The 21,832-nt window shown below is 37.7% G+C and overlaps 1 protein-coding gene across 1 annotated transcript, besides 1 other annotated feature; it reads right to left on the reverse strand.

Annotated features, from left to right (window-relative positions):
* Positions 1-224: 224 nt before the first annotated feature.
* TMEM207 (transmembrane protein 207) lies at positions 225-21,471 on the reverse strand. Its single transcript, NM_207316.3, has 5 exons — positions 21,305-21,471; positions 19,360-19,397; positions 13,008-13,052; positions 11,814-11,959; positions 225-1,301 (listed from the first exon to the last, which is right to left on the reverse strand). Exons 1-5 carry the CDS (start codon positions 21,377-21,379, stop codon positions 1,165-1,167), a joined length of 441 nt encoding a protein of 146 aa, NP_997199.1. The 5' UTR covers positions 21,380-21,471; the 3' UTR covers positions 225-1,164.
* Positions 12,419-12,594: a silencer, noted in NCBI's record as "fragment chr3:190158638-190158813 (GRCh37/hg19 assembly coordinates)". NCBI's record gives its function as "represses an EF-1alpha promoter that drives an FKBP-Casp9 reporter gene in an ReSE screen in K562 erythroleukemia cells {active_cell/tissue: K562}" and the evidence as "EXISTENCE:reporter gene assay evidence [ECO:0000049][PMID:32094911]".
* Positions 21,472-21,832: the final 361 nt, after the last annotated feature.

Here is a 21,832-nt window from a genome sequence, read left to right on the forward strand (position 1 = left end):
GTGTCAAAGCAGGGTGTATACAATAAATCTCTCTACCTTCTGCTCAATATTCCTGTGGACCTAAAACTGCTCTAAAACTAGTTTATTAAAAAGGATTACCCTAGCTTCTATGGCTCCAAGTATTTTTTGGCCTGAGCAACAGTTGCAGTTAACTGAGATGGGGAAGGTTTGGATAAAACAGATTTGGAAAAAGAAGATTAGGAAATAAGTTTGGTCAAACTAAATTTTAGATATCTATTGATGTTTATTGTTTTGTTCAACAAATTTGTCAGCTGAAGATCATATGTCATCTGTGATGGATGTTTTTGTCTGTCCCCCTGCTGATGGCCACTGCCAAAATGCCACTTGAAGATGTCTCATTGCTACTTCTGCAGTCCTCATGGGAACAGATACCTATGCCGAAGGTTCTTAGCATGATGCTGCAATAAATGCCAAGCCCTGAGGCTCCAGAGAAACACTATGGACTATGGAGGCCACATTCATTACTGTAAAAGGGGAACTTTTCTTTTCTCCCCGTGTTGGCATTATATGTGCTCTATATCTTCAGCAATCTCCTTCACCTTCTATCTACAATTTCTTCCTCTTCAGGTTGGGGCATAAAACCTCTTGTTTTTGCTGAGACTTGTAATCTTTTCCTTTTCCTCTTCATTTATCCTTTACCCTTCAACTCCAAACTTTTCTTTTTCCTACTCTCTCCCCTCACCTTCATTCAAATACTATCTTTCTGGTTCTGGTTCTGGACATGTTGGATTCTCGGCTTGGGCTATTGTTAAATTATAATAATTTTTATGGACCCCATGCTAGGAAAGAGTTTAAAGCAGAAAATGGTGTGCTGTATACTGCAGTGGAGTCCTAAATGTGATGGAAACTACTTCCAGCACCTAATTGTTGCCTGTTTGGATACTAGTGGAGAAGCATTAATTTGGTTGTGTAGCATAAAAGTATGATACAGCAGTGACACATCAAAAGCCTGCTACTTTACTATTTAAACATCTCCATGACCAAAATTTTTTCCAACATCCATTCTTTTGTCGAATTGTCCTTCCTCAGACTATATGAATAGATCTCTGGACATTTCCAACAACTGAAATAACTATTCCTAAATTTGATGTTTTGGAATTACAGATGTCGTTAATACTTTAAATTGATAATCCACACCTAAAATCAGGTTGTTTTTACAATTTCTTCATATGGAGGTGGGGAGCCTAAAGGGCCAAAACATGGAGCAGGAACAGGATATAGGTCAGGGGTTTGAGTTTGAAGGTGAATTCCAACAGTTGGACTCACAGCTGCTTCTGTCCCTGGAAAGAGAAAGATGAAGACTTGTAATCTTTCTAGTGAGCATAAAACATAAGTACATGAACTGCCCGATAAAATCTGGCATTGCTTGGATCGCTGAAGCAACAGAAAATTATTTGTATCTATGAGAAAAAAATTACAACTATCTTGCTCTTTGCAGTGAAGGTTTAGTCACCACAGGGGGGAAAAAAAAAATTGCTTGCCTGAACTGATGAAATCATCATTGTCTAACCCATCAAGAAGCATTTACAATTTAGGAGCTGAAACTAGAAGGAATATCTTCTTTTGTAGATCACAGAACAGGATTCCTCAACACTAATGGCATTTCAGCTAATGCTGCCAACATGGGAAATGTAAATTGCATTAGAAAAATTAAAATATCACTTTCTAAATTGTATTATTTTACATGTATGGTTGCAAACTTCAACTAATATAAATAATTATTTCTCTTTAGTAAACAGTAAAAATGTTAAGCTCGGTGATGAAAGCACGCATTTAAAGTATACACACACAATAAAGAGAATATATTCTAAAATTTAAAAAAAAACTTGGAAATCAAAGTTCTTGACTTCTAGATTAGGCATAATATAGGCCATTAACTATTACAAACTGGCCTTTTCTTCCACTAACTGGTAACCTTGAAAGACTATGCACTTACTCTAATGGCTCTTTTGGAAATTGTCTGTTAGTATTTCCTTGAAAGACTGTGTTTGGGTAACACAAAAAAATAATAGTGCTATTTTATAACCATCTTTATATTAATATATGACTATATATATAAAGATGGTTTTATATATATATATATGTATAAATGCTTATATGTAAAGAATATGTATTCACCTGGATCTTTACTTACCTTTGAATGATTTTGACTGCTTTCTGCCAAAACAATAGCAACCATCAAAAATTCATCTTTAAAAAGAAACTAGTCCCGTGAACTAAATCGGGCCTCTGATTTTGTGTATTGAATTTATGAAACACAATCTTATTTATACACTTACATATTGTCTATGGCTGCTGTTGCACTACCATGGCAGAGGTGAGTAGTCCCCACCTAGACCATATATTTTGCAAAGCCAAAAATATTTTATACCTGTCTTTAATGGAAAAAGTTTGCTGACCTTCCTTAAAGGAGTAAGATTTGATGCCATTAGGAATATTCCAAAGAATATGCCACAATGATCAAAAGAATTCAAAGACTAGTTGCATATTAGGCATTAGTTGCTTCACTAGGATCCATACGGAGATTACTCAAAATGATTACTTTGAAGCAGATAATGTTAATTTAGAATAATGGATTTTCATACAGTTGTGTTTGTCTTATTTCTTATCTCACTGGTACCAGAGCAAAGACTAATAAGTCAAGTATGTAAAGGGTGGAGCTGTGTTTAGTATATATGTCTCACCTTCTGGTTTAGCACTTTTCTTAGAGTTATCTATTTAATTAAATAGTCTACTTTTGGGCTATTACATAATATTTCTTTACCTCAGTTTTCTCTTAGGCAATAAGGGTATAATACTCGTGTCTACCTCTATAAAAGCAAGGCTAAATGAGCATAAAGTACTTAAAACAAGGCCTGGCACAGGAATTATGCATCAAGGTTTACTATTATTATTACAATATGTCAAGAGCTGTACTAATGATAGGAACATGCATGCATCTACTTTTATTTACAATATTATTTTTCAATCCATCCTCTTTTCATAGTTAAATAATGATTTAAACATTATTATTATTAATTATAATATAGAAGTTATTAAATGAAAAGTATCATGGAGTTAGAGCCCTTTGCAGTTTATAAGTTTGGGTTGATGTCAGATAAGTCTGCGGGACTTGATCAATCAGAGTTAAAATTGGTAAAATACAGTTACCCTAGGAATTTCCTCCATTGTGAATACTTGTAATGAATGATGGCTATTTTCTTGGTGAACTGCCCCTAGTGTATTCAGTACAAAGTCAAAGGTAACTATCTTTCTGCCTAGAAATGGTCAACCAAACTGACTTGACACATCTATTATTTGTACTAGCTCCAATTTATTTGTACGATTGCCACTGTCTATATTGTGCTCCCAGTAATAGAGTCTTCACAGTTGCTTTCGTAGAAAACTCATTATCTTCTTCCTACAAATTTTGCTGTTGATCTTAAACTTGTTATTAAAACCACAAGGCATTTGGTAAACATAATTAAGCCAATGTGTTCAGGAAGTTTTGAAAACCAAATATGTGTTATATCAGTTTTCAATTTTTTTCAAAGCATGTTTACATATAATATCAAGTGATTGGATGCTGGGGAGGACAGGCATTTTTATCTTTTGACAAATTAAGAAGCTGAGAGAACTGAATTAAAAATGCCAGCAAAAATCCTATAGTTTTTACAGAACTGCTCTCTAAGATATCAGAGTTTACTGTTTAATTTTGTAAAACCAATACACTTACTGCTTAGTTTTTATAGCCAGAGTTGAGATTTCCTATGTTTTTAAGAATCACTCAAATAGACTTCACCTCTTTCTACATGTTCTTTCTACCTGTTTCTTCTCTTTCCTTTACCTCATTCCTTTCTCTTCTATGGGAGTGGCCAGAAGGACTGAATTTGAGTCACAGTTCTGCCATCTACTTACTATGTTGCTTAATCTCTAAGTGCCTTTGTTCCCTCATTGGTAGAGTGGTCAGAATGATAGTGAACCTTCATAGAGTGGTAAGGAAGAATAAATGAGATTAAGGATGTCAAGTGTTAGCACAGAGCATGGCTCCTGGGAAATGCTCAATGAATGAGTCATTACTATTATCATGTCTTTCCATGAAAATCTGTGAATGAAATACTTCCTTTTTTATTACTGAAAATAAGTCACAGAATATTTACACTTAGAACATGAAACATAGGGAAATGGCATTTCTGAAAAATCATAAAATAAAAGAATCCTGGGAGACTGGAGGGAGAAGAGAGCAGAGCCTGTAAGACCCTGCTTCTTGTTCACCTCTCTGCAGCCCTCCTATTTCTCCCCAGCTCAGAGCACTCATACATAATCACTGCTGGAATGCCAGTATTTCTATTTTCCCAGAAATAAGAAAGAGGGAAGATTATCCCTGAAACTGCAGAAGAAATGGGATCAGAGAGATTGTATAGTTGAAGGGCAGCATTATCAAGCGATCAGCCCCAGGGAGAAGCTAAGCCAAGATGAGTGTCCCTAGGAGGGGTGTCACCTCGGGCTTCACCTTGCAATCAGCTCAGGAAAGGCAGGGAACCTCATTAGGAAGCCTTGTCAAGCCTGAGGGAACCCAGCTCCAATCCACACACTTCATGGCATAAAGGCAAAGGGACCCTTATTTAAATGTTATGTAATTGATTATGTTTTATTAAAAACATGGACAAACAATTGTGGGGGTCCCTCTCCTATGCTCTCAAATTCTCTCTTTTCTAATGCCTAGTCAATTGTTTTTCTGCCTCAAGCTCTATTTGTCCTTTTCTCACCTCCAAAACTCCATTTTCCATTAATTATCTTTAAATATCTTGCTTCCTCATTAAGATGGGCTTTTATTCAGCATCACAACTTTATTTTTAATAAAACCTTATTGTCATCCTTATTTTTAGTAAATTAAAATAAAAACAACCTTTCATTTTTAATAAACTCCAAAATTCCTTTGACATTGCCTACTTTTAATATACAAATTTAAAAAATAAAACAAAACAATTAACCTAATCAACAAAACCAAAATCCTTATCTTTTTTTAAAAAAACTATTTTTAATATTTATTTTACCCTATCATAATTATAGTCCTTGGATTTATGAACTGCTGAGCGATGACCACAAACAGTAGAGATTTGGGATACAGATGGTCATGTGAAGATTTTGAGGATTTTTCTCTTCTTTTTTCTCAACCTTTACTAAAAATTTGCATACATTCCTTTGAAAAAATCACTGTCTGTGGCTCAATGTGTGTTTTCACTTCCCATTTCCACATTTGAGAGGGGGGAGAAAACTGGTTTTGCAGATTGATATGATTTGGATCTGTGTCCCCACCCAAAACCAGTGTTGAATTGTAATCCCCAGTGTTGAAGACGGGGCCCGGTGGGAGTTGACTGGATCATGGGAATGGCTTCTCATGAATGACTTAGCACCATAACCTTGGTGCTGTTCTCATGATAGTGAGTTCTCACGAGATCTGATTGTTTAAAAGTGTGTAACACCACCCGCCTCCCACTCTCTTCCTCCTGGCCCAGCCATGTGAAGTGCTTGCTCCCTCTTTGCCTTCTGCCATGATTTAAGTTCCCTGAGGCCTCCCCAGAAGCCAAGCAGATGTCAGCATCATGCTTCCTGTACAGCCTGCAGAACCATGAGCCAATTTAAACTTTTTTTTCATAAATTACCCAGTCTGGTATTTATTTATAGTAATGTGAGAATGGACTAACACAGGAAGTCTTCTGTGTTTTCAGTTGTATTATCACTTAGGAGATATTCTGAAGGCATTATTAAATTAGGTAAGATACTGAGTGATATGCTTTGACTGTGTCCCCACCCAAATCTCATCTTGACCTGTACTCCCATAATTCCCGTGTGTTGTGGGAGGGATCTGATGGAAGACAATTGAGTGGTGGGGTGGTTTCCTCCATATTGTTCTTGTGGTAGTGAATAGGTCTCATAAGATCTAATGGTTTTATCAGGGGTTTCCACTTTTGCATCTTCCTTACTCTCTCTTTGCCTGCTGCCATCCATCTAAGATGTGACTTGCTCCTCCTTGCTTTCTACCGTGATAGTGAGGCTTCCCCAGCCACATGGAACTGTAAGTCCAATTAAACCTATTTATTTTGTAAATCGCTCAGTTTCAGTTATGTCTTTATCAGCAGCTTGAAAATGGACTAATACACTAAGAAAAGAAAACATCAAAAAGAATGAAAAAAAATTACCTCAACACAGATACTGAACAAAACATACCCACATAATACTAGAATTATTCATCTTTGACGATTTAGAGAAGGAACTAAGAAGGTCTCAGAAGCTACGGCATGGATGATGCCATTTGAGAAGACATGAGGTCATTGAGCGGACGCTCTCTGGGTTGTAGCAGAGATGGTGAAGGAGAACCGGATCCAGAAGATGAGTGAAGTTCAGGGGAACATAGTAAAGGGAGAAGAAAGAGGAGGAGATTCTGGAGCTGGGACCAGGAAGAGGAAGTGGGGCTGAAGAAAAAAAGAAGAATTTAGAATCTGTATAAAATAAGTAGGTTTAAATTTTAGTCCTTAAAATATCTCTGATTTTAAACTGTTTCTTCTCTTCTTCCTCTTGCTCTGCATCTTCTCCTTCTCTGCCTTCTTGACTTTCTTCTGATCTTCTCCTCTTCTTCGTTCTCTGACAGCCCCTCTTCTTCCTCCTCACTCCCCAAGAGAGCAGCTGTATTAGTTTACTAGGGCTGTCATAACAAAGTACCACAGACTGGATCACTTAAATAACATAAATTCATTTTCTCACGATTGTGGAGTCTAGACATCCACGACCAAGGTTTCGGCAGGGTAGGTTTCTTCTGAGGCCTCTCTCCTTGGATTGCAGATGGCCACCCTTCTCCTTGTGTCTCTACATCATGGTCTTTACTTTGTGCCTGTCTGTGTGCTAATATCTTCTTATAAGAATGCTGGTCATATTGAATTAAGGTTCATCCCAATTACCTCATTTTAATTTCATTGCCTTTGTCTTTTTAAAGGCCCTATCTTCAAATATAGTCATATTCTGAGATACTGGGGTTAGAATTTGAACACATGAAATTGGGTGGGACACAGTTCAACCCACAACAGGGGGCATCAGAGGGAATATTTTTCCCTTTCTGAAGGGTAAAGATCTTCCTAACATATTGTGGACATGGAGAGTGATCTTTGAGCGCACAGTAAGTGCCAGGGTCTCTTCTACAGAATCCAAAGACTTTCGAGAAGCCCCTCAGTTTAGGATCCACACTTCAGGGGTATAGATCCTATGAAGAGGAAGGAAGACCAGTTATCTAAAGACTGAATCAGCAGAGTACTGTGAAAAGACAGGAACATTAGCCCGGGAAACACTACTGTGGTCTGTGGTGTTTGGGTGAGAACCCACGGACCTCTCCCAGACAGGAAATTCCACCAGACATTGGGATGGGCTGTGCTGGCAACACCCTCCTTACATACCTTTATAAGGATCCAAGCCAAGTGTTTTCTTTTTTCTGTTTAGTATTTCTAATCAGAATAACTGGCAACCTGCACCATGTAATAGTATCAGTAGTTCTGATTGAAAGAAATTCTCTATTTTATGTATTTTAACATTAGCACAATTTGTCCACCTCAGTTTCTCAGTCAAAAGTTTCCTCTGAGTTCTGCTCAGTTGAGGGCAGCTTCCAGGAGATCCTGAGAGTCCAACCTTTGCCCTACATGTCAGAAGAGCCGAGCTATTTCAATTAATATATTCAATAAATGGTGATAATTAAGTAAAATAAGTTTTGGTAAAAATTTAAAAAATTAAGTTTTGGGAGGAACCCAAGGTTAATATATCAAATCTAGTCTCTCCATTAAAATGTTTCAAATAAATTACCCATTTCCCACATTCTGTATTCAGTGGGGAACATCCCATCTTCTCCTTTGTGCTCAAGAAATGGCAGGGAGTCCAGAAACCTTATTTTGTATTCTAACATGTCACCAGTGTCATTCCAGAGATTTCTCATTTTTCTCTTTCTCTTCTGAACAGGGACTGTGAGGGAAATTCAGAAGCACAGTCCCATAACCTTGGTGTGGGCGTATGAATCCTGTGGCAGCTGGACTCAGTTCTCCGCTGTGAGCACATACTCTGTGGGAGCTGTGGAGGTAGATGCTGTGGTTTTGACCCTCACCTCCTTCTGTAGCCACAAAAGCAAGTGGTTCTTTAACTTCCCTTTTGGAGAGCAGCTTCTTTTTATAGAAATATTAGGTAGGAAGAATGATTTGTATGGAGAAGTGAAGGTATCATGAAGATCCAGTGAGGAATGTAAATCTAGCATGGGTCCAGGTTTCAAATTGTCTTAAAATATTGACTGCCTGAAATTTGCTTCCAGAAGTTACTAGGTAAGAAGTCACTAGAGATGGGAGATCACCACTTCCTAAATTACTCTTTTGTATTTTGTTTTGGAGAAGAGAAACAGAAATGCCAAAAAGCACAGCTCTGGGCATCTTATCCACATCAAAGACTGTATGAATGGCTGTTCCCTGCCTATCCTGCCATCCTGAGCATTCCTGGGACAAGATGGAACATCGGCAGTGGGTGGAACAACCTAACAATGAATTCAGCATAGGCACACACACAAAAAAAGATAAATAGGACAGAGTAACTAATGGGAATCAATAGTAGAGAGATTTGCAGTGCAACTCAGGATGGAAGAGTTTAAATGTTTCTTGAGCAAAATAAGATCCAGAAGTTAAACCAGTGGAATTGGGGTGAAAGAATAGAGTGAGGATGGGCATGAAGATCCTGGAGCACAAGCCCTGCTACTGAAAAGCTGCTCTATAGAAAAGTCTAGGTGTTCAAATAGTGAGGCTCTACTTAGTGTCCAGGGATGGGCTGGGCTGTGAGTGACCAGCCCATATTTTCACTGGTTCCCTAGCCCCAATTCTGGACACTTTAAACTCGATTAGTTGACGTGCAGTAAACATCTATGCATGTATGTGTCCCTTTGAGAGTGAGAGAAGTACATAACATCCTCTAAGATAAATAACAGTCACTTTTCCAAGTTGATATTTAGGAATTAGAGATAATATCTGAAAATCCGCAAATTACTGCTTAGCATTTGACAGACGTAAAACAAATTGTGACCATATAAACCACAATGAGATACCATCTCACACCAGTTAGAATGGCAATCATTAAAAAGTCAGGAAACAACAGGTGCTGGAGAGGATGTGGAGAAATAGGAACACTTTTACACTGTTGGTGGGACTGTAAACTAGTTCAACCATTGTGTAAGTCAGTGTGGCGATTCCTCAGGGATCTAGAACTAGAAATACCATTTGACCCAGCCATCTCATTACTGGGTGTATACCCAAAGGACTATAAATCATGCTGCTATAAAGACACATGCACACGTATGTTTATTGCGGCACTATTCACAATAGCAAAGACTTGGAACCAACCCAAATGTCCAACAATGATAGACTGGATTAAGAAAATGTGGCACATATACACCATGGAATACTATGCAGCCATAAAAAATGATGAGTTCATGTCCCTTGTAGGGACATGGATGAAATTGGAAATCATCATTCTCAGTAAACTATCGCAAGGACAAAAAACCAAACACCGTGTGTTCTCACTCATAGGTGGGAATTGAACAATGAGAACACATGGACACAGGAAGGGGAACATCACACTTGGGACTGTTGTGGGGTGGGGGGAGGGGGGAGGGATAGCATTAGGAGATATACCTAATGCAAAATGGCGAGTTAATGGGTGTAGCACACCAGCATGGCACATGTATACATATGTAACTACCCTGCACATTGTGCACATGTACCCTAAAACTTAAAGTATAATAATAATAATTAAAAAAAAGCAATTTATCCCCAAGGTTGTTTGGTTTTTTTTTCTTTTTTTTTTTGCCTGTTCTGAATGATTTCAGAGTAACATAGAGAATGTGAGTCTATTGCCCGTCACTCAGTGCTAGCACATGCAGATTGCTAAAGCAGTATATCAGCCTTGACCCTTCCTTCACACTCATGACATTCAGGCAAGTTCAAGAGCACATATGGAATCTGCCATGCAAGAAATATAAAAACATTAGATAAAGAAGGGTATAACCATGGCACATAAGCTGCTTTAAAAATGTTTAACAGTATAACTGTCTAGCTTAATAATATACTTAAAATTAAAACGAAAATTCTTTTAAGATTCAAGATAGTCGAGGAAAAGGTCTTTCTTGAAGTGAGAGAAGAGCTGAAAATACTAGGCTGCATTTTTCTTTTTAGAAACTTAAGTTCAGATAAAAGAAGCATAATTGCATTTACTTATTAAATACCTGGAGGTAAATAAAGAAAAATAGTCCAATGTTAGCATGTTGACTCCTTTGACTAACATATTTTGTTAAAATATCAATAACCCTGTTTCCCTCTATGCCCTGTGGAAGGTGCTTTTGATTTTAGGAGGAAGAACTATTGTTTTGGAGACTTTAATTATCCTTCCTAAAAGAACCATTTCCCGCCGGGCGCGGTGGCTCACGCCTGTAATCCCAGCACTTTGGGAGGCCGAGGCGGGCGGATCACGAGGTCAGGAGATCGAGACCACGGTGAAACCCCGTCTCTACTAAAAATACAAAAAATTAGCCGGGCGTGGTGGCGGGCGCCTGTAGTCCCAGCTACTCGGGAGGCTGAGGCAGGAGAATGGCGTGAACCCGGGAGGGGGAGCTTGCAGTGAGCGGAGATCGCGCCACGGCACTCCCGCCTGGGCGACAGAGCGAGACTCCGTCTCAAAAAAAAAAAAAAAAAAAAAAAAGAACCATTTCCCAAACTGATAATGCATTGCCTCTGTTAAGTAATAACCTTTGAAGGAAAAAAAAAAAGCTGGAGGTCAATATAATCATTATCTTGGAAAACTAAGTTTGATGTTAACAAATTTTTGTTTATTTTTACCCCACTTTTCATCTTGCTGTTAGTTTTCCCCAGGGCACACCCTGCTCCATCTATTGTAAATTTCATGGTGGCCCAGTTTCTGAAAGACGGCTTTAGCTATTATCTCTGTTAAGCGCTCCCGAGGTAACTGTAGTGTGTAATGCAGTAACTTAGAATAAAGTCTCACAACAGTCCCTGCTTGAGCCAATACTTAAGATGAAGAAATAGCTATCAATTATGGCTTCCCAGAAATCAGTAAGTTGTTTTTTTCTACTCACAGCTAAGGCTGGCAGCTGCAAATAACTCTAAGCCCTGAATTTCCTCTGTTCTTTACTTCCTTATGCAAACTGGAAAATGAAGGGAAGGGCATGGTTTTGGGAGGGGAAGTTGGGAGCTGACAGGATCAGGACGCTGAGATGAAAGGGCATGAAAATTGACATTCCCCTGACTATTCCATGGAATTTCAGATTCTGCATTGACCGCAGACATCTGGAAAGTGTCGTTCAATGTTACTTCAGATGAGTTCAGTAAAGCATAGAAAGCTCAGTAAATGAATTTATAAATACAAGTTAAGACAGGTTGATAATAAAAGCTCAGAGATGCTTTGCAGTACCCTAAACCCTACCATTCACCTGGACTGCCCAGCCCTGCATACTTCTTCTCTTCTGCTTATTGAACAACAAAATATTTAGTTGCTTTCCTTATACTTAACTGTGGGTCAGTTCCCAAGACACATTTTCTTTCTTCTGGGATTGTCTTTCTTATGAAATTTTCTCCCTTAAACTCTCCTCAGTGCAGGCCTTGGTGTCTCCAATAAGCCACATCTTTTTCTAAGTTCCCAGATCTGCTTTTGGGAGAACAGTTTTTCAATTAACCGCAAAACCACAAAGTATCAAAAAAGAGTCCAGAAGCGTGCAGACAACTCACCATAAATAGAGTCCAAGTCTCCAACAGCAAAAACTGCCATGGTGCGCCTGTGAGAATCAATTCGGGGTCTCCTCAGCCAGCACTGGAGGCAGAGGACCACAGCTCCACAGAGAAGAGCTGCCACCAAAACCAGCAGCAGGAGGATCCTGACTCCAAAAGTAACCGAGAAAAGAATGAGGTAGAGTATGCAGGGAAGTTAAGAGCTTCCATCACTACCTAGAAGTGGGGTGAAGACTCAGCTAGACTGGCCGCAAGCAATGTGGGACACTGAATTCCTTAAGCAATTTCCTACCACCACCCATACATTTCCACTGAACTGAAAATATTCTTTGGCCTCAGAAAGGGTTGATCTTTCCAGGTGGTAATAATCATTTTCTCCTTAGAAATTGGAGGGTTATTCTAAAAGACAGAGTCTTAATTCATTCATCCATTCTTCCTTTCAGACATCCATCCAGCCATTCATCCATCCATCCATTCAGTTAGTATTTAAGCAACTACACACACTTTAGATATTGGGGATAGGAATTCAAAAGTAGGCAGAGGGGCCGGGCGCGGTGGCTCAAGCCTGTAATCCCAGCACTTTGGGAGGCCGAGGCGGGCGGATCACGAGGTCAGGAGATCGAGAACATCCTGGCTAACACGGTGAAACCCCGTCTCTACTAAAAAATACAAAAAATTAGCTGGGCGTGATGGCGGGCGCCTGTAATCCCAGCTACTCCGGAGGCTGAGGCTGGAGAATGGCGGGAACCCGGGAGGCGGAGCTTGCATTGAGCCGAGATGGCGCCACTGCACTGCAGCCTGGGCGACAGAGCAAAACTGTGTCTCAGAGAAAAAAAAAAATCTGAAGGATTATCTCATAGAAGAGACAGTGGTCATTTGGAATGCCTTTTAAGGCCAGAACTAATATCAGTGGAGGGTCATTTAGGGAGATTTCAAGACAAATAACAATTATTTTGCTGTTAAAGATTTTCAACTCTAGAATAAGCTTATTTTTTAAAATAGTGAGTCCTTTTGTCACAAGAAGTGTTTAAGTAAACATTGGCCAACGATCTGAAAGTGATGTTTCTATATTCATTTGCATGACCCCTAATCTTTCCTTAAGCTGTATGATTTCATGTACCATCTCAAATTATTTAGGACAAAGACTGTATATACCACCAACTGTCATATAAAACAAATGGAAGATATCCTTACCAGATATACCAGCCATTAGGGTGTTGGTCATTATAATTTACACACCTGGTGATAAAGGGAGAGCGTTAGTCCTGGAACTCAGGATAGCCAAAGCCTATTTCTTTCACCCAATAAAATTGGTACTGATCACACTTGTTTCTCCAGAACAGTCACCTACATATTCCCATACCAGCCCATATCGTCCCGCACCCAGCACAATTATGCAAATGTTTATGCCCACTCAATTCAAGGCACTGAGAATACAAGTAAATGTGAAATTATCAGACTGATACATAAACAGATAAATGCATTATAATGGGTTTGATTCTAGAGTTACAAATACTGTTAAGCATTGAGAAGGCAGTGACTTAACTCTTCAGGGACAACAAATCGTAGGTGTTTGGTATTAGGTAGATAACCATTATAGCTATATTCTGTTCATCTAGAGACCTACAGTCATGTAAAACTCAAATTCTCCAGGGAAGAATATCTTGGTAGAGAATAGGAGGCATTGGACAACTGTTTGCCCTCTTGTTATACAATTGGTGAGGAAAGAAATTAGGCTAGGAGGAAAATGAATGAACGTGGCCATACCTACCATTTACCAAGGAGTTAGAAGTTGACTCCTTCAGTCAGGAAGTTGACCCTCCTGTGTGTGTCTAGCCACAATTCAATCTTTCTTGAGAGAAGTTTTAAAATATCGCAGACAGACAAAGTTCACAGAGTGATTTTTGGGAGGTATAACTCCGTAGGTGTAGAGTCCCTCACTATGCCTAACATGGCACACTAAATGTATGTGGGCTGATGGACTTTTTTCATACCTCAATATACAAGCTACTTTTAAGGTATTCTGAACTGAGCTTGAACAGTGGAAATCTGTTATTCACAGTCAGATACACTTCTGAGAAGACACTATACTTAATCATATCTTCTTCAGCCATTGTTAAAATAACTCAGTTCATTGCAGTTTGAAGACATTCATAAATGTCAGTTAATTTATTGCATCTAGCTTCCCTGAGGAGGCAGTGTGTCATCCCATCATCATACCAGTCAGAAATGACTTTTAACATATGTGAAGTGTCAATTTAAAAATTCTATCACAAACATTTAAGACAAAAACCAATCACCCAGCCTACAGATGATTTCATTCCCCTCCACATATAAATCTCTGCGTCTTTTTCTTTTGTCTGTTTTCTGTTTATTTGCTCTTTGTTCTTTTGAGCGCCCAGAGTGTTTAGCAAAATTCACAGGTATGGCTGGAAAAAAAAAAATGGCAACTGAAGTGTGACTTTGAAAAGCATCCTAAGACAAATGGCCATGAATAAAAGATGTGAAAAATAATTAATGGGACATACTTACAAGGGAATATTATTCAATCATCAAAAATAATGTAAACATGTTTATAAATAAGTCTTGCTACATAAAATAGTATAGAGACTTCAATCTTACTTTGTATATATTATTTTCTACAAGTACAATGATTTCGCCAAAATTACTACCAGACATAAATTTACACCAGACTACTGAAGTGCCCACTTCTCTTGAAGATGGCATTATGAAAAACTCTATCCCTTTCATATTGTTTGAATTATTGTAATGTACACGAATCACTTTGTAGTAAAAAGAACTTTAAAATATTGTATTAAAAAATTAAAACCTTAAAAATATACATTTTTTAAGAGACAGATGTGGGGAAATTCTCTTGGTGTCCTGACACAATTAAAAAAGCTTTTTTTTTTTTTTGTTTTGTTTTGTTTTGTTTTTCTTTTTTGAATTGTGACATCTAAGCTCATGGTCAGGAGTATGGATTATTTCATCTTCCTCCTCTTCCTTTACTTTTTTTCTGTTTGAAAATAGCCCCTTTACTTATCGTTAAACTCAATTCTAAATATTAACCACCTCATTGTGTTTCTTAAATCTAATTTTTAAGGCCCTCTATTTTTTTTTCTTCCTGGGCTAACAATTTTCCAAACCAACTTTATTTCACTTTTTTTTCTGAGCTGGTGCACCCTCTGGTGGAGTTTCTGATAAGAAATAACATGGCTAGGAAGCAGTTAGCTGGAGAAGTGCAGTAATCATGTAAGCTCCAAATCGCAGGCATCTTTGAGATCATTTATTGACCTTTAGGATTTTGCACAGTGTACCACTGAGACTTAAGGTGGAGAGAGGAAGAGGGGAATTCACTACGTAGTCAGAGAACTACACTGGAACATGTGTCTTTTGGCTCCATATGCTCCCCTCCTCGAATCATTATTTCCATTTCTCTCTTAAATTCAAGTTGTAAACAGAAACTTTTTGAGTTCCTAAAAAAGTAAGAGTATTCTAATTACTCAAATATTACTTCCAAGATATTCAGTATAGGAAAGGTTATATTTTTGAAAATGAAATTATTCCTCAGGGATTGGTCAAATTGGTATGATTATGGTAAAAAGAAAATCATCGGGGGGAAGTGAGAGCTGACTATAATGCGTAAGAAAGACATTTGGAATAAGAATTATCTAGAATTAATTGTTGAGGGAGATAATTTCTGTCCTTATCAGAACGATTTCCTTTTGTTACTTTGATGTCATGGAGATGATTTCTGTGCAATACGAATGGTTAGATGAGTTGATCTTTATTCTTCTTCTCTGTGCTGAGAATCTGTGGACCTTAGATTACACATTTATGAATTTGATAAATTCAGGAAGAAATATGCAGAGTTGCTTCATTGGTTTCTCTGTTACATCACTCAGCATTTTCTAGGGCAGACACTCTTCTAAAACCAGATGCGTAACTTCATGTGAAATAACGGACTCTCAAACTTACACCACTATACAGTAGGGTCATACTATTATAATTCTCCTTTTACAACTGAGAGAACTCAGTCACAGAGCCATTAAGTAACTTGCGCAAGTTAGCATAGCTGGAAGTGGTAGAAGTAGGTTTTCAACCCAAATGCTCTGTCTGCAGAGTTCATGTCTCTTATCACCATGTCGTGGTGCGACTGGGACAGTAATAGCCAGCTCTAACCTCATAGTACCATGTGGAGTATTGCCTGAATGAATCCAGTATCCCGTGTTCCAAATGCTTTAAGGAAATACTGAAAATTAAAAAAAAAAAAAATAGAAATGAGAGCCTGGTGAGGATCAGACAGAGAATAGGCCAATAGTGAGATCAGTTTGTAAACCGAATATAGTAAATACCGTATATAAAATTTGAATTGAACTGTAGATCTGACTTAAGCTTCCTAGCAGCTAGCATAATGAGAGAGAATATTGGTTATATAGTGTCCTCTAAAATTAACAAAATGAACAGCATTACTCACCAGATGTACAACTATTCCTGGCATCGAAACCAGAGAAAAATTCAAGCTATGAGGCCTCATAAAGAGAACACTGTTAACATAAGAACAATGTTTTCCATAGTATTCTCAGAATAAATTCAGTAACAAATTGCATGAATTTTTTTTTATTTTTAAAAAGTCATTCCTCAACATAGGCCAAAGTGCAATTCAGCTACAGTAATTTGAGGGATGGATGAGTCACAAATCATATTACCCAGAAACTGGTAGTAAATTGTATAGTATCTCAAAGAATGAATGGACTATGCATATCTCAGGTATTTCACCAGATGTATAATTGATTAAATGTTGGATATACAATATAACTTTGTGGTTGAAATTCTGGGCTCAGGAGTCTGTCCCAGGTCCAAGTCCAAGCTCTGCCTTTTAACTTGCTTTCCTACTCTTGAGTAAGATATTTCACTTTATCAAGCCAAGCAAGATGTGGTATATCATTAGAAAATCTATCAATGCAATTAATTTACAGAATCTTTTATATGTATAGTCATATTTATATTTCATAAATCAATCTATTTTTGTTCATTCATGCACATCAGTGTCCTTGGCTATTTATCAGAAGAGGACTAAGTCAGAAGTATGATAAGAGGGGCTCTGTCATGCTTTATTTCATAAAATAAATTACTTATAGCATTTAAATTTTATACAAAGACAGCACAGCAAAGCTTTGTTCATGTTAAAAATACAGTTAGAAAAGTAAAATAATTGGATTGGATCAGAAAAACGTACCCTGGTGTTGAAAACAAATTTAAATAGGGAATAATAAAATAGACCAGTGTTGTTGTTATTTGAGACGGAGTCTCGCTCTGTTACCCAGGCTGGAGTGCAGTGGTGCGATCTCGGCTCACTGCAACCGCCACCTCCCAGGTTCAAGCGATACTCCTGCCTCAGCCTCTTGAGTAGCTGGGATTACAGGTGCGTGCCACCATGCCCGGCTAATTTTTGTATTTTCAGTAGAGATGGGGTTTCACCATGTTGGCCAGGCTGGTCTCGAACTCCCCACCTCAGGTGATCCACCCACTTTGGCATCCCAAAGTGCTAGGATTACAGGGTTAGCCACTGCGCCCGGTCGACCAGTTTTGTTTGTTTGTTTGTTTTAATGGAAAATATATGCAAATTGTTTCGCACAATTCTTGGAACATAGAAGTTGATTAATACATATGTTTTTATTTCTAGCTAATCAGCACCTCCTCCACCATGGCCTCTACCTAGGCGATCCATGTTTCATGTTTTTACTTTGATGCTCCCTTGCATTCCAATCCAAGTCTCCCTTTTCTGTGTCCATTTTGCATGTGAACTTTGGACAAGCTACTGTCCTTTTGTGTTTCTCATTTTTTAAAAGACATTTGGAGTAGGCCATCTTTACGGTCCTTTTCACTGTAATCTGCCATGTTTGTGTGTTACTCTCTTATAGCAGTGCTGGTAAATGGATGAATATGGTCTCTTGGCTGGGTAGTGTATTTTATCAGGAGATAATGTCTCAGATCAAAGAAGTGATTTGAAACTGAAATCTCTTGTATAAATATAGTTAGAGAAAGAGGATTTTTCTTGGAGGGGACTTTTTACTCCCTCAGAAAACAGCATGACTTTCCTTACAGATTCATTCCGCTGACACTGTCTTGCGATAACAAAAGATTTGAGATATTGTGCACGTCTTCAATACATTTACTTACCTTATATGACCACCCTACATTCCCAGCCACTCTCTTTTTTGTGTTTATTTTCTGCCAATTTACATTTCATTTGAGGGTTAATTTTTTTTTGTTTTTACTCAAAAGCAATTGTATTGAATAATGATAACCATTACAGACACTTAGTTGCAAAATGATGTAGCCAGAGAATGTGATGCCTAAGTACCAGTTGAAGCCCTACTACTCATTTACTATTTCTCTTAGGTTTCAATCCCTTCACCTAAAAGGGAGAGCGGTAGCCTCAGCTACCGCTAAAGTCAGCATAAAAACTTTCTTAATACCGTATGTTTCTGTCACGTTGATTAGAGTTAGATTCAACATTTAAGATCCTTTCCAATTCTGAACTTCTTTATTTTGTTAGTCTGGGTCAAAGGCAGAAGATGAGGAGATAAGATAAGGGCAGCCAGGAAATCCTGAGTCAGATAAGCATGCAAACAATCAAATACTCTGTTACATCACAAACAGCATAAGACAGAGTGAAAAAGCAGTTCCAAAATTAACGTAAAGAAATAGCAATCGAGAGCCATGCAAAAGCTGAAAGAGCAGCACAAATTTAATAAGCAGATTGTTAACAATAAGAAGATCCACCAGAAGCAGGTGAATGGTCCCAATTTCTGCTGTGAAATACAGTCATAGCCTCCTGCTATACAGAGAGCATGGCTTTGAGTGTAACAGGCAATGAAGACTGAAAACAGCTGCTAACAGTAAGGGCTGCAAGCAGGAGAAGATAGTGCTGGGTGGAAGTGCTTTTCTGATACTAAATCACAATGAATTACAGATATTAATTATCAGTATCATTATTAATGGCACCTTCTCTTCATCTCCTGAATAGAATTCTGAGAACCATTAAGTCTATCGCACAAAAAGTGAAAAAATTGAGTCAATTGTTCACATAATTCATATCACAAGCACTTTGAAATAGACACACAGTACAGGTTAGAATTTTGGTCAGTTTGCTTGTATTTTAAACTGAGTTATACAGAAAACTGCCTCCCTTGGTCACTGTGATTTTTGAGTGTGGATGAAGCCATAGATGACATCATGATTCTTTTATGAACTTAAAGTACCCTTGAAACCTTAAGGAAGATAAATTCAGTGTGCAAAAATATCTAGAAATCAACTAGGCCTCTTATTTATTTAACAAAGCTGATCGTAATGAAAATTATCTTTCCTGTTTTCAGAAAAAAAAATGGAGCCATCTGCATTTACAAACCATTTACTTTTCTTCTGATTATAATGATCATTTGAAACTCAACTGGGCTTTTTCTAATGGCTTGAGCCTTTTTTATACTTTGAATTTTTTAAATGCGAAATAAAAACATGGAGTTTTTCGCTGTTTACTTACATTTCATCTTCTTCGCATGGTAGGTCCGAGAGCACCAACTGAAACACATGTTTAGAACAATAAAATCCAAACATCTCATCAGTCTAATCCTTTAATACAAGCAGCGCCTAGAGACAATGTGGGTTTATATCATTTCGTTTGCTTTTTTAATTAAAAGCTCTATAGCAGAGTTTATTGTTGGTACACAGAATTTTAATTGAAAAAATCTCTGGGTGGATTCTTAAGCTCAGCAGTGGCAGAAGATATATATTGTGAACCAGATTCCATTTCTACATACCAATATAAATGGATTTTACGACAATTTTTGTTTTTTCTATATGCAGATTTTGCTTGCTCTAAAGAGCTTTTGTGCACTTTGCATTTTTTGTTTTCATGTTGTAGCTAGAGGTCAGAGGTTCATTATTAGTGAGTATTATTTTCACGCAAAAAAAAACAAGTTCCAAGTACATACATGGAAACAGAAGTCAAGCCTATTAGCATTAATGGGCATTAAATATATATTCATGAAAGGGCGACTTTAACCTGCTCTAAGGGTAAGGTCCATTTAAGATCACATGACATTCCAGTTGAGATTTACAGTCTTCTCTTTATCAGAGAAGAGAAAAAAAGTAATCATCTTTGTTGCTTTGTTTGAAAAGTCCAATACTATAAGCATTCTAAAATAATGCTCTTAGTTATCTGCACTGAGTGTCATAGGTTACAACATCTCATATACTAAATCACAAGGAAAAAGGCACTTCTTTCTAAAGATCTTATTATCTATTTGCTTGCTTGACCCTTTGAACCAGGACTCCTTCCTTGTACAAGGAGAAAGTCTTTAAACGGCATTTATGTGTAGCTCTGAACACTTAGTTGATGAAGTCAGTTGAAGTATTTATTTTCCTGGACTATAACACGCAAATAAAAGTACAAGTAAGAAGTTACAAAATTTAAAGTGATAGACTTGGGAGTTCTGTGTGAGATGTGTCTTTTCCCCCCTTAATCCCAAAAGCATCTTCTTCAGCACCTTGTATTTACTCCACCAAGTTTATCTGGGCAAAGAGATTTGTGGAGTTGCAGATGGAGCCATGAATTGGCCATCAGAGAGCATGGTAATGAACAATTTATAAGCACAGAAAATGAGTTGCATTCTTTTTTGCTAGAATGCTGCAAATAGATTTGCATACTAAGTGAAAGGAAAATGAACATTCACATTTTGTCCATAAAGAAAGTTTATTTATGAGTAGATGAAATCGTTTGGGATCCAGCTTAACAGATAAACAAATAAAACCAGTATTTCACTTTCAAGTCACTTCCGTGTTTTTTCTGTGTGTTGTACCCTAGCAATAGTACACAGTATTAAATTATTAGCACCTCACTGCCAACACATTAGCTGTCAAACTTCCAGTTATTATGAAGAGGTAAGGAAAGCTATAATTTACTTTAGATCTAAATCTTTCAGATACCTTGCATTGAAGTCACACAGATCTAGAGATGCACGTGTTAGTCAGAAGGGGATGCTGGAGCAGAGGAACTGAAATAAATCCTAAAATGGTTCTGTCTACATCAGTCAGCATTGAAAAACTGTCAAGCATCAAGTATGGTTGTAGGCAATAGTAAACATGTCTTAAATTAATCTAGCCATAGCATTTTGTTCTGTGTCAATAGCATTTTGAATTTAAAAAATTACAGCATAGCAAAGTTAAACAAAGGTTAAATTTGCAATCACGTTATTTCAGTAGCAATAGAACTAATTGAAGGAGAAATAAGACTAATGCCTTGGACATTTTGTTTTGTCCCTCTGACCAGTGAATACAAGAAATCATAAGATGCTAGTAAAGCTTGAAGGAAATCTTTTAAATGTAGAAGCAGTTAAGTTGCTCACATATAAATCTATAGCAAATCAAGTCCTCAGAGTACCTCAGAGTACCTCTGAAAACCTTAACCCAGAAAGAGAGATAGTTACCTGGAATAGCGGCAAACACAAGATCCCTATCGTTGAGATCGCTGAGGTGACACTGAAAAGTCTGGATCTTGACATATTTAAAGGACAGTCAACTTAGGATAGTGGTTTGGTGCCTGTGTTTATTTCCTTCTTTCTCAGAACTTACTAGCTTCTCTATAAGTTATGCTTCCTACCAGGACATGCATTAATAATGGCTCCTTGTGACTCGTAAAGTGCATGCTAGGGGAAGGAATGTTGGGTACATGTTTACAGGTACTAAGAGCCCAAGGAATTTAAGTTTAAGGTGAGAACTTTAGCACTGTTTGTCAAGGCCTTTAAAAGTAGGGGTTATAAATGCTGACCTACAGAGCTAGCTGGCTACTTAATAACTTTCCACATTCAAGTGCATGTTTTATTCCAGGGAACTTCTGGGTTTCTAATAGTATTTCATATTTGGAACATTTATTCAATTTTCTTCCCTTTGTTGGTACTCTTTGTTCTCCTACACACCATTTTCAGTTCCAGGTCTAACCCAAACTTAGGCATAAA

The sequence above is a fragment of the Homo sapiens genome, chromosome 3, assembly GCF_000001405.40.
Source record: "Homo sapiens chromosome 3, GRCh38.p14 Primary Assembly".
In the NCBI taxonomy this organism is placed as follows: Eukaryota; Metazoa; Chordata; class Mammalia; order Primates; family Hominidae; genus Homo; species Homo sapiens.